At 44.9% G+C, this 12125-nt stretch overlaps 1 long non-coding RNA gene and 3 pseudogenes across 1 annotated transcript in view; 2 read left to right on the plus strand and 2 right to left on the minus strand.

The window, feature by feature from the left end:
* LOC105371059 (uncharacterized) overlaps positions 1–12125 on the plus strand; it is a 34555-nt gene that overhangs the window by 4433 nt on the left and 17997 nt on the right. The gene's annotated exons all lie outside the window — the stretch shown is intronic.
* Positions 51–196, plus strand: MTND2P34 (MT-ND2 pseudogene 34; annotated as a pseudogene).
* On the minus strand, positions 403–1358 carry MTND1P8 (MT-ND1 pseudogene 8; annotated as a pseudogene).
* Positions 1506–2736, minus strand: MTRNR2L4 (MT-RNR2 like 4 (pseudogene); annotated as a pseudogene).

Raw genomic sequence — 12125 nt, forward strand, 5'->3', positions numbered from 1 at the left:
GCCTCCCAAAGTGCTGGGATTACAGGCGTGAGCCACTGCGCCTGGCTGAATTTATCTTTTTAATTAAGATTGGGATAAGAGCTAGTATGTTCATTTCTAGGCCTGTTCAGATGAGAAATCTATGTGAGCCTAGCATTGTGGTAAGAGTTCCTGTGAAAACAGTAAGGGAAATAATAAGTTGAGCTAATGGGTTTATTAGTACAGTAAGGGTATAACTAACATTTTTGGAGTATGAGCCCGATAGCTTAGTTAGCCAACCTTACTTTAGGACTTGGTGTAATGGGTAGCACAGAGAATTTTGGATTCTCAGGGGTGGGTTCAATTCCTTTCGTCCTAGAAATGAGAGGATTTAAACCTTTATTGTTTACTCTATCAAAGTAATTCTTGTGTCGGACATATTTCCTATATTTGGGGTGGGATGCTGGAAATTAGAATAGGCATTGAGATACATCATATGCAGAGTGCTAGTGTAAGCGGTAGGAAATTTTTTCATAGAAGATATATAAGTTGGTCATAGCGGAATTGGAGATATGCTGTTTGAATTCATAAAAACAGGGTGGTTAAAGAAAGGTCTTGGTAATGAAATTTGTGGTATAGAGTTCTGGTGAATATATAGTGTGTAGTGCTCCTAGAAAAATGGTAATAGTTAAGTCATTTATTACGATAATATTCATATATTCTGCTATAAAGAAGAGGGCAAATGAACCTGTGGCATATTCGATGTTAAAGCCTGAGACTGACTCTGATTCTCCTTCTGTTAGTTCAAAAGGGGCTCGGTTTGTTTCTGCTAGTGTGGAGATAAATCATATTATGGCTAGGGGTTATGATGGTAGAAGCAGTCAGAGGAATTCTTGCGTTGTGATAAATGCATGTAAGTTAAATGAGCCACTTATTAGTAGAACTGATAAAAGGATAATGGCTAGAGTGACTTGATATGAAATTGTCTGGGCTACAGCTTGTAATGTGCCGATTAGTGTGTAATTTGAATTAGATGCTCATCCTGATCATAGGATAGAGTAGATGGCTAGGCTTGATGTGGCTAGTATAAATAGGAGGCCTATATTAAAATTAATTAGAGCATCTGGTATGCGGAGGGGAGTTCACAAGAGGAGAGCGATCAAAACAGCTAGGGTTGGAGCAGTAGTATAAAAGGTAATAGTAGACGCTGAGGGACGTAAGGGTTCTTTGACGAAAAGTTTTATTGCATCAGCGAATGGTTGAAGCAGTCCATGGGGACCTACAATGTTAGGTCCTTTGCGTAATTGTATGTAGCCTAAGAGTTTTCATTCAATGAGTGTAAGGAATACTATAGCGATTAAAGTGGTAATAATAAGTAGGAGAAGATTGATTATAGGCATATTGTTAAGAAGAGGAGTTGAACCTCTGATTTTAAAGTTTTAAGTCTTAGGTAATTGCCGGGGTCTGCCATCTTAAACACTGTTTAAGATGGTAGAGTGTGTGATGATTTGTTAGATTGAGACAGCATCATTTATGGTGGCAAGGGTGCTTTGTGAAATGGGCCCTGCTTCTCTTGTCCTTTTGTACTAGGAGAAATGTTAAATAGTTAGAAACCGACCTGGATTACTCCGATCTGAACTGAGATCACATGGGACTTTAATAGTTGAAAAAACGAACCCTTAATAGCGGCTACACTATTAGGATGTCCTGATCCAGCATTGAAGCTGTAAACCCTGTTGTTGATATGGACCCTAGAATAGGATTGTGCCGTTATCCCTAGGATAACTTATTCCGTTGATCAAATTATTGGGTCAGTGTGTGTTAACTTGCTTAGACTAGTGCGGTCTTAGTTTAGGTAGTTTGGAGGTTGAATTATGCTCTGAAATAAAAGAAAATTTTTATTTTTTTTGTTTTTTATTTATTTATTTTTTAAGACAGAGTCTGGCTCTGTTGCCAGGCTGGAGTGCAGTGGCACGATCTTGGCTCACTGCTATCTCCACCTCCCGGGTTAAAGCCATTCTCCTGCCTCAGTCTCCTGAGTAGCTGGGATTACAGGCACATACCACCACACCCAGCTAATTTTTGTATTTTTAGTAGAGACGGGATTTCACCATATTGGCCGGGATGGTCTCGATCTCCTGACCTCGTGATCTGCCTGTCTCAGCCTCCCAAAGTGCTGGGATTATAGGCGTGAGCCACCACGCCGGGCACCCCAACCAAAATTTTTAATGCAAAGATAGTAGGCTAGGGCCTGTAGGCTTTTTTTGAGTTTCTATTTGCATTAATGAATTAAAGCTCTATAGAGTCTTCTCATCTTATTTGTTTATACTGCCTCTTCATGGATAGGTCAATTTCACTGACTGAAAGTAAGAGACAGCTGAACCCTTGTGTGGCCATTCATACAAGTCCCTATTTAGGGAACAAGTGATTATGCTACCTTTACAATGTCAGGATACCGCAGCTGTTGAACATATGTCACTGGGCAGGCGGTGCCTCTAATACTGGTGAAGCCAGAGGTGATGTTTTTGGTAAACAGGTGGGGTAAGATTTCCCGAGTTCCTTATACTTTTTGTAATCTTTCCTTAGAGCATACCTGTGTTGGATTAATGGTATAAATAATAGGGTATTTATTCTTTATTAATATTAGGCTGTTAACTATCAGTGGATTCTGGTTTGATATAAGCTTATGCAATGGAGAATGTCTTCGTGTTACTAATATTAACATTATTGCTTCTATTAAGTAATAGATTAGTCTAATGTAATGTTAGGAGTTCAATAGAGTGATTAGGATTTAAAATAATTGGATGTTGAGCTTGAAAGCTTTCTTTTTTTCTTTTTTCTTTTTTTTTTGAGACGGAGTTTCGCTTTTGTTGTCCAGGCTGGAGTGCAGTGACGCAATCTTGGCTCACTGCAACCTCCGAGTCCCGGGTTCAAGCGATTCTCCTGCCTCAGTCTCCCGAGTAGCTGGGATCACAGGCATGCACCACCATGCCTGGCTAATTTTGTATTTTTAGTAGAGATGGAGTTTCTCCATGTTGGTCAGGCTGGTCTCAATCTGCTGACCTCAGATGATCTGCCCACCTCGGTCTCCCAAAGTGCTGGGATTACAGGTGTGAGCCACCGCACCTGGCCTTGAATGCTTTCTTAATCGGTAGCTGCTTTTGGGCCAACTACGGTGGTAATATTTTTTACTCTCTGGAGGAAGGTTATTTCCTAGGGTCTAAACAGCTGTCCCAAAGAGGGACAATATTAAGGATGGGAGATTTGTCTCCTGTAAAATGCATCCTTTCTCCTCTGCAGGTTATGTTCACCTGGTCCTACTCTGAATGAGAATCTGCTGGTTTTTGAAAGGCCTGCTCTGTGATGGAGGGATTGCAATGCCCAGCAAGGTGTGGGCACTTTAGTTAAGTCCTCAGTGTCTGAGTCACACCTCTCCCCCAGACAGATCAATACAGCTGGCTTTCTGCTCGAGAGACGGCCAGAGGCCAGGCGCAGTGGCTCACGCCTGTAATCCCAGCACTTTGGGAGGCCCAGGCAGGTGGATCACGAGGTCAGGAGTTTGAGACCAGCCTGACCAACATGGTGAAACCCCGTCTCTACTGAAAATACAAAAATTAGCCGGGTGTGGGTGGCGCGTGCCTGTAATCCTAGCTACTCAGGAGACTGAGGCAGGAGAATCGCTTGAATCCGGGAGGCGGAGGTTGCAGTGAGCCGAGATCGCACCGCTATACTCCAGCCTGGGTGACAGAGTGAGACTCCATCTCAAAAAAAAAAAAAAAAAAAAGAGAGAGAGGGAGGGGGCCAAAGTGGGACCAGCTTGGGGCTGGGTACTGTGCTGCACGGTGTGACAGCTGTGGATCTGGGGTGGGAGCAGCCACAGACCTTCCTGCACTGCCCTAAGCCAACAGGACCCTGATGTGCTCTGTGTCCCTGGCAGCTGTGGTGCTGAGACCTTGACTGTCGAGGGGGTTTGGTTTACAGATTATTTTGTCACCGAGGTAATGAGCATAGTATCCAATAGGTAGTTTTCCAGTCCTCACCCTCCTCCCACTCTCTACCCTCTAGTAGGCCCCAGTGTCTGCTGTTCCCCTCTTTGTATCCATGTGTACTTCTAAGCTCCCGGTTACAAGTGAGAACACGTGTTATTTGGGTTTCTCTTCCATTGTTAATTCGCTTAAAATAATGGCCTCCAGCTCCATCCATGTTGGTGCAAAGGACATGATTTAATTCTTTTTTATGGTGGTGTAGTATCCCATGGTGTATATGTATGACATTTTGTTTATCTACTTCACCATTGATGGGCATCTAGATTGATTCCATGTCTTTGCTATTGTGAATAGCGCTACAATGAACATATGTGTGCGTGTGTCTTTTTGGTAGAACGATTATTCCTTTGGCTGTATGCCCAGTAATGGGATTGCTGGGTTGAATGGTAGCTCTAAGTTCTTTGAGAAATCTCCAAACTGATTTCCACAGTGGCTGAACTAATGTACATTCCCACCAGCAGTGTATAAGCATTCCCTTTTCTCTGCATCCTCACCAGCATCTGTCATTTTTTGACATTTTAGTAATAGCCATTCTGACTGCTTTGAGATGGTATCTCATGGGGATTTTGATTTGCATTTCTCTTATGATTAGTGATGAGTATTTTTTCACGTGCTTCTTGGCCACATGAATATCTGACTGCTCTTCTAATTCTGTTCTGCTCAGCTGCACTTGCCCCGCTCCACGTTCAAGTGTTTAGCTCTGGCTTTCAGGAATCTCTGTTACCATACCTCTGCTCTCTGAGCCCATACAGGGATTTCTGAAGGGATGAGGTAGGGTGTCAGTGATAGGGTTTTTTTTTCTCTGGGATTATGGGGGGAGTTGCCAAGCTCCTATTAGAGCCAATGAAGCCCCCTTCCTCAGGGACTTTCCCAAGAGAAGAGCCAGAGCTCATACTCAGGACCATTCAGACCATAAGGCCTTATAGAGGAACCCAGTGACTCCAAGAAATGGTGAGACACAAAAGAGTCTCAGGCTGGAAGGGGAAGAATCCAGGGATGAGAGCTCATCAGTGCCTGTGACATCATAGACATGACCGTACAGTTCTGTCATGACCAGAATTGGGGGAAAGAAGCAGGTGAAATGGTGGTGCAGCTGCCAGACTGAGACAGCTCAGTTCCTTATCTAAGCTTTGTCATGTCCTCCAGTCCTCCCTTCAGAAAGGCCCATATTCCATGATAGCCCCTAGAAGGGTCATGTCTTGGTGTTTTACACAGAACTCTTTGGGTTTCTCCATTAACTTAGCTACTGTGCCCAGCAGCCACCAGAGGCCCCAGAAGAAGAAACCAGCAGGGGATCTGGCTGCCTGGGTTCCTCGGGGGTGGTCTCACCATCAGGGGTGGGTGAGACCACCACAGCCACACTGTGAAAGTTTCAGAGTTTTCACTACTTACAGATCCTCAAGATAGGCAGGGTGACCAGAGAGAGGCAGACAGCAGTCCTCAGTTCCAGGTCTTATGTAGTGACAGCAGCTGCACACTTGTGGGAGAGGACTTCTGTTAAAGGCTTATTTGGGGGTAGGATGTCCTAATTTCATGGAATTACTTTCCACTGAGTCCTTCAACCACTTCTAGCACCAAAGGTAGTTGAGCAGTTTGGCATGAGGCTGGAGTTAAAACAGGGCTCTGCAGAGCAACTTCTTGTCTATCTTGGTCAGCCCTTGCCAGGCAACAATCAACTGTGGTTTCTTCATTACTCCTCAGACACTTGGGACATTCATGGTGACCTATTGGCACCCAAGGAAGAGAACCTGATTTTAATTTGGACTGATAAGCAAGTTTTCTGAACAGGTTTATAGGGATTAGTTTAGTCTGGACAGAGTGAGCCGGAATCAAAAGATACTGTTAATACCAGAGGACTAGAAGATCCCATGTGGAGATGTCAGGTGGCTTAGCCATTGAGAAAGAATGACAGTAGATCTGAAATGGTCCAGAGCCCAGATATTCAACAAAGGCTAAGAGCCAAGGTGAGAGGGTAAAGGGAAGGTGTGAACGAACGGGTGAAGCCCCACTGTGTGCTTGGCCAGCCCCACAGAGCTCTCTGCTGGTGCTTGGGGGTATGAATTCTACTTCTGACATGTCAATTTATGTCACCATCTCCTGTGCCTGGGTCTAAAGTCTTGACTTGTAAAAGAAAAAAAAACCAACTGGGGATTCCAACAGACACTACCTTGATGGTAGGTAAGCGGGGCTGGGTAACAAGTGAGATCTCTGATTCCTTCCTTCCTTCCTTCTCTCTCCCCTTTTCTTTTCTTTTCTTTTTTCCTTCCTTCCCTCTCTCCCTTTCCTTTCCTTCCTTCCTCCCCCTCCCTCCTTCCCTTTCCTCCTTCCTTCCTTCTTTCTTTCCTTCCTTCCCCTCCCTCCTTTCCTTCCTCCCTTCCTCCCTTCCTTTCTCCCTCCCTTCCTTCCTCCCTTCCTTTCCTTTCTTTCCTTTCTTTCTGACAGACTCTTACTCTGTCCCCAGGCTGGAGTGCAGTGGCGTGATCTCAGCTCACTGCAACCTCCGCCTCCCAGATTCAAGCGATTCTCCGGCCTCAGCCTCCTGAGTAGCTGGAATTACAGGCGCACGCCAACAGGCCCAGCTAATTTTTGTATTTTTAGTAGAGATGGGTTTTCACCATGTTGACCAGGCTGGTCTCAAACTCCTGACCCCAGGTGATCTGCCTGCCTTGGCCTCCCAAAGTGGTGGGATTACAGGCTTGAGCCATCACGCCTAGCTCTTTCTTTCTTTTTAAATGGGTCTCTTTTTGCCTTTTCTACCTTTAGACTGTAAAAACTGAGTGAAAGTGAAATGGAAGTAATGAAAGGTTTTGGAATTGATTTGACCTATGTTCAAAATCTAGCTCCTCTCCCTTGGGGCAGTGACCAGGTCTTCCATATCTCTCTTTGCCTGGCACATTATAAACATACCTGGGCAAAATAAATATCAGTTTTATCATACTGTATTTAATGAACAAATGAACTCACTGACCGACTGAAGAATATGGTGTTGGGAGAGTTGTAGATGTAGCCATCAGTAATGCCTGTTGGAGGTTGTTTGGCGCTTGTTTATCCTGCCTGGTAAAACTCAAGACATATCCAGTAATAGCTGGCATATGTGAAGCTTTTACAGTGTGGTTGGTTACATGTAAATGGCTTCCACACATGAAAGCACTTAACCCTTTAAACCCCTCTGAGAGGTAGACATTGTCATCACTGACTGTAAGATGAAGAGGCTGGGCTCAGAAAGGTTAAGTACTTGTGTACTTACTTACCTACTTACGTAAGTGTCCAAAGACACACAGCAATAGGTTATAACAAAATTAGAAGTTAAACCCGGTTTGTCTCACTCCAAAGCCCTCACTACAGCACCATACTAACACTTTTTGTTGGAATCTGCAGAGCTGGAGGTTCATTCGTTGTCTGATACTGACCTTAGGCCCCAGTGTCCTCTCTCTCTAAGAAAGGGGTTCATGTCTCTCAAACAGGCATAAGCACACAAAAGCACTTGGAAAACTGCCCCAGACTGACAAATCAGAATCTCTGGTGGTGGCATCTAGGAATCCTCATTTAAGAGAAATTACAGATGAGGGGAAAATGTCCAGCTCTTTCATTTAGTCACTGTGCAAGTCACCTAACCTAGGAGGGCAGGTATGAATTGGGGCTACCAGGAAACCAAGACTTTACTTACAAATCTCCATAAATCTTAAATCTATGAAAAACTCCAGACTTGCTCCTGGAATGGCCAACTGTAAGGGTAGTGGCTGAGCTGCTGCAGGAGTACAGCTTCCTCCAGATGCCACACAGGTCAACACCAAGTTCACAGCTTTCAGGCTGACTACGATGGGGAATGGTGGGGCCGCTTGCTAGAGTCCCATATTCTCTGTAAGTGAAGAACACTCAGTCCTTCTCTTGGTCTCTACCCAGAAACCAAGTTACGGTTGAGTCTATTTCCAGGACTGTGAGGAGCCAAGGATTCTGCCTGTGATGAAGTCAGCTATGAAATGGGTGCGTTTTTGTGCCAGGATCCCAGAAGTTCTGGGCTGTTTCCAGACTGAACTCACAAGAGAAGCAGCAGAGAGGTAGCCAGAGGAAAGGTGAATGAGGCGCCCAGCTCTTGTTTGGCTCTGACCGTCTGACAGCCACTGTCAGCTGAGAGGAGCCATGGTAGAACTATGGACCAGTGACGGCCAGTAGGCTCTGCCCAACTTCTCTGGGTTGTAGCGAGACGATTGATCCAGTCTACAGGGACTGGTTAGGAATCTTTGGAAAAAAGGAATAGTGTCAATTGAAAAAAAATTATATCAACTAGTTAAAATGTTTCAGTGAGGGAAGGAGGTATGGAAACAGTGTAGAGAGCCCACTGTGTAACTTACCAGGGAATGACCTGGTTTTTTAATGGGCCTCTGAAGGGCTGCACCAATCCTGGAGGGTAGTATTAGACATAAGAGGAAATCTGTAGACTTGGGGTCTTGCCTTTTGTACAACATACTTCCAATACATTCTCAAGTGGTTAGTGTTGTATTGGGCTTGTTAAGCAATGGAAAGTCAAATAGTGAGGGCCTGTGGTCAATTGACTGAGAGAAACAGCCCTGAACTGTCATTCTGAGTGTACCCTCCTGGTGGAAGGTATGCACTAGGGTGCTGAAGAAACAAAGACCTTCCTCACCATCCTTGATAAACAGCAGTTTAGTGAAAATACCTAACCTGGTACTGATAATGCAAGGTGCCCAAAACAATAGCTGTGCAGCCTGAGGAGCTGGGTTATTTGCACATCCAGAGCTGTGTCACAGCAAGTTGAAGTGTCTCCAGATGAACGTCACAAGGAGAGCAGCAGCCATGTGCCAAAGCCCTGTCCCCTCCATGAAGAAATGGACCAGAGGACATTGAGGAGCCAACCTGGCTGGACTCCTAGCCCCCAAGACCCAGCCCAAAAGCTAAGTGGTAGTAAACATTCCCTCCTAGAAGAGTTACATAAAAGACTTAGTAAGAAGAGAGCCCTCTGCACCCTGGGAAACCTGGATTATAATTCTGTCTTTACTGTGGATTGAGCCAAAGACTGTTGTGTGCCCATCCTTCCTCCCTCTAAGAAGTATTTCCATTTCTAGAAGAGAGATGATAATCTACTCTCCCTCTCAAAGATACCACTTAGAGGGCCTGCTTTCCATGTGGGGTTGTATCTCTCCTTTCTTTCTGTGAGTTACTTTTCCCTCTCTGACCTCCACTTATTTGAGTTTCACCCATTGACCCAGATAATAATAGGAAATCCCTAGTAATAGACATAGATGAGAACTCTCTCCTTCACCTCCATAACTAATCTATCACCGCTACATTATGTTGACTATGCGCCCAAAATGTACAAAACCCATCCACTTTTTTCTGTATCCACTGCCATCACTAGACTAGACAACTGAGTTTCTAGACCTCACAGCTAAGAAAGTCTTACCTGGTCTCTTTGCTAGCACTTTTTTTTTTTTTTTTTTTGAGATGGAGTCTCACTCTTTTGCCCAGGCTGGAGTATAGTGACCTGATCTCGGCTCACCGCAAGCTCTGCCTCCCGGGTTCACGCCATTCTCCTGCCTCAGCCTCCCGAGTAGCTGGGACTACAGGCACCCACCACCATGCCCAGCTAACTTTTTGTATTTTTAGTAGAGACAGGTTTCACCCTGTTAGCCAGGGTGGTATCGATCTCCTGACCTCATGATCCGCCCGCCTCAGCCTCCCCAAGTGCTGGGATTACAGGCGTGAGCCACCGCGCCCTGCCCCTTGCTACCACTTTTAGCTCTTCTGACCTATTCTCCACACAGCAGCCAGAATAAGAGAATTGTGTCTTTCCCTGCCTAATTATTCAGTGGCTTCCCATTATACTTATCATAAAATCCAAACTCTTAGCATCACATGTGATAATAAAGTCCAGTCAGGAAAACAGAAACCATTCTTGATGTTTCAAAGAGGGGACTTAATGTAAAGAATTTGTAAAGTGGGTGTGGTAGAATTGAAAAAAAAAGTGTAAAGGGAAAACTGCAGTGACAGAGATAGTAACTGTAGGAAACAGCTACCACACATGGGGTCTGGATAGAGAAAGGGTTGGGTTTACCAGACCTTGGAAGCTTGGAAGAGAGGCCCCGCAGAGCTGGGACTTGGATTTGGCGAGGGTGCTGGGGGTTGGGAGCTGGGAGCTGGGCAGTGTTGCCTGACTGGTGCTGATACCTCTGAAGAGTCCAATGAGGCTGCTTCTGGAAGAAGCTTTGTTCACTGCTTTTTTTTTCCGCTTAACATGGGGAATCTTGCACGCTGGAGTGCAGTGGTGTGATCTTGGCTTACTGTAACCTCTGCCTCCTGGGCTCAAGCCATCCTCCCACCTCAGCCTTTCGAATAGCTGCAAGCACGTACCACCACTCCAGGCTAATTTTTTATATTTTTTTGTAGAGATGGGGCTTTGCCATGTTGCCCAGGCTGGTCTCAAACTTCTGAGCTCAAGCGATCGGCCCACCTCAGCCTCCCAAAGTGCTGGGATGACAGGTGTGAGCCACCACCCCTGGCCCTGTTCACTGCTTTATATTTGGCTCCAGTACCTCATATATTATAGGCAATCACATGTTTCCGGAATAAATGAATGGATTCTCCCAACCCTTACCTGTCTACTTCAGGTCATCTAGAGTGGCTGACAGGCATGGATTGGAGACTCTAACGGTACTTGTTTTCATTTTTCTGCCCAGCAGACTAGAGGACAAAGCAGCCTGGAGGGCAGAGGCAACCTAAACATGCAAGGAGTTCAACAGTTGTACCCCCATTTACCTGGCCACGGTAGGCCCAGGAATGGGAGGAGCCTACTAGTGAGGCCCCGAAGTGTCTCACTTTCCTTATCTCTTCCGTTGACTTGCACTGGCTCTCCTCATTTATCCAGCCACCTTCTCTGAGCTGATAATCCAAAGCCCATCAGTAACTAGTCCACTCCTGTCTCCTCTTCTCCACCATGAATCACCAATGAAGTCATGGTGTCCCAAATAGGTCACATTCCAGCCCACCTCTTTGTCGAGGCCCTTTGAAGATGTTTTTTTCTGAGTTGAGCAGAGGCTGTGAAATATGTGACTTTCGGAGCTGTCCTGCAGAGCTTCTCCTTAGGGGCATGGTCGAGGACAGCAAATGCAGAGAGAAGCAGTGGCCCAGGCAGAGCTCAATAAAGAAACAAAAGTATATTCTCCTCTTCTGCCTTTGCTTCTCCTTCGTCCCCTTAAATTCTTTTTCTTCTGGATTTGAGGTAGAAAGCACATTCTCCTTTGCTCATATTTAACTTTTCTCACTTAGAAAAAAAGTGAAGCTCGCTGCCAGCACTCATTTAATTTCATATAAACATGCTCTCTGAGGGTGAAGCAAATGTGACTGATTTTCAATGTGAAAATAAAATATAAAAACTGTTCTTGGAGTTATTTCTAAACAGAAATAACATTAGAATTGCCTGAATCATCAGAATTGTCTTTCAGAAAAATCAGATTCATCAAATAGATCTTTGGCTTACAACTGTTAGAGAATGATGTTATCATATGTAAGAATGCTATGTTTTCTAGGATTTGACATTTTCAGCGATTGAGAATTACTGTATTTTGTAAAAGGAAATACCACTACTAAATGCTGTAAATAGAATGATGTCTTTTGTTTCCAAAGTTGATATACTAGAGCAATGCGAAAATAATAAAAGAGAGATGGCCAGGAGCAGTGGCTCACACCTGTAATCCCAACACTTTGGGATGCTGAGGCAGGAGGATCACTTGAGGCCAGTTCAAGACCAGCCTGGTCAACATGGCAAAACCCTGTTAGTTGGGCATGGTGGTGCAGGCCTGTAGTCACAGCTACTTGGGAGGCTGAGGCACGAGAATTGCTTTAACCTGGAATGCAGAGGTTGCAGTGACCTGAGATCGCACCACTGCACTCCAGTCTGGGCGACAGAGAGAGACCCTGTCTCAAAAAATAATAAAAGCAAGCTATTTTGTAGCAAAGTTATCTCAGGGTAAACACTGCAGCTGCCAGTGCTGCTGGCAAGTATTCTTGGGGCAAATGCTTAACTTTTCAAAAAGCTCAAGAGACCATGATGCTTGTTTTGCACCATACCTTAGAAAACGTCCTACTACCTTGTGTGCACCAGCC

The sequence above is a fragment of the Homo sapiens genome, chromosome 16, assembly GCF_000001405.40.
Source record: "Homo sapiens chromosome 16, GRCh38.p14 Primary Assembly".
Lineage (NCBI taxonomy): Eukaryota > Metazoa > Chordata > Mammalia > Primates > Hominidae > Homo > Homo sapiens.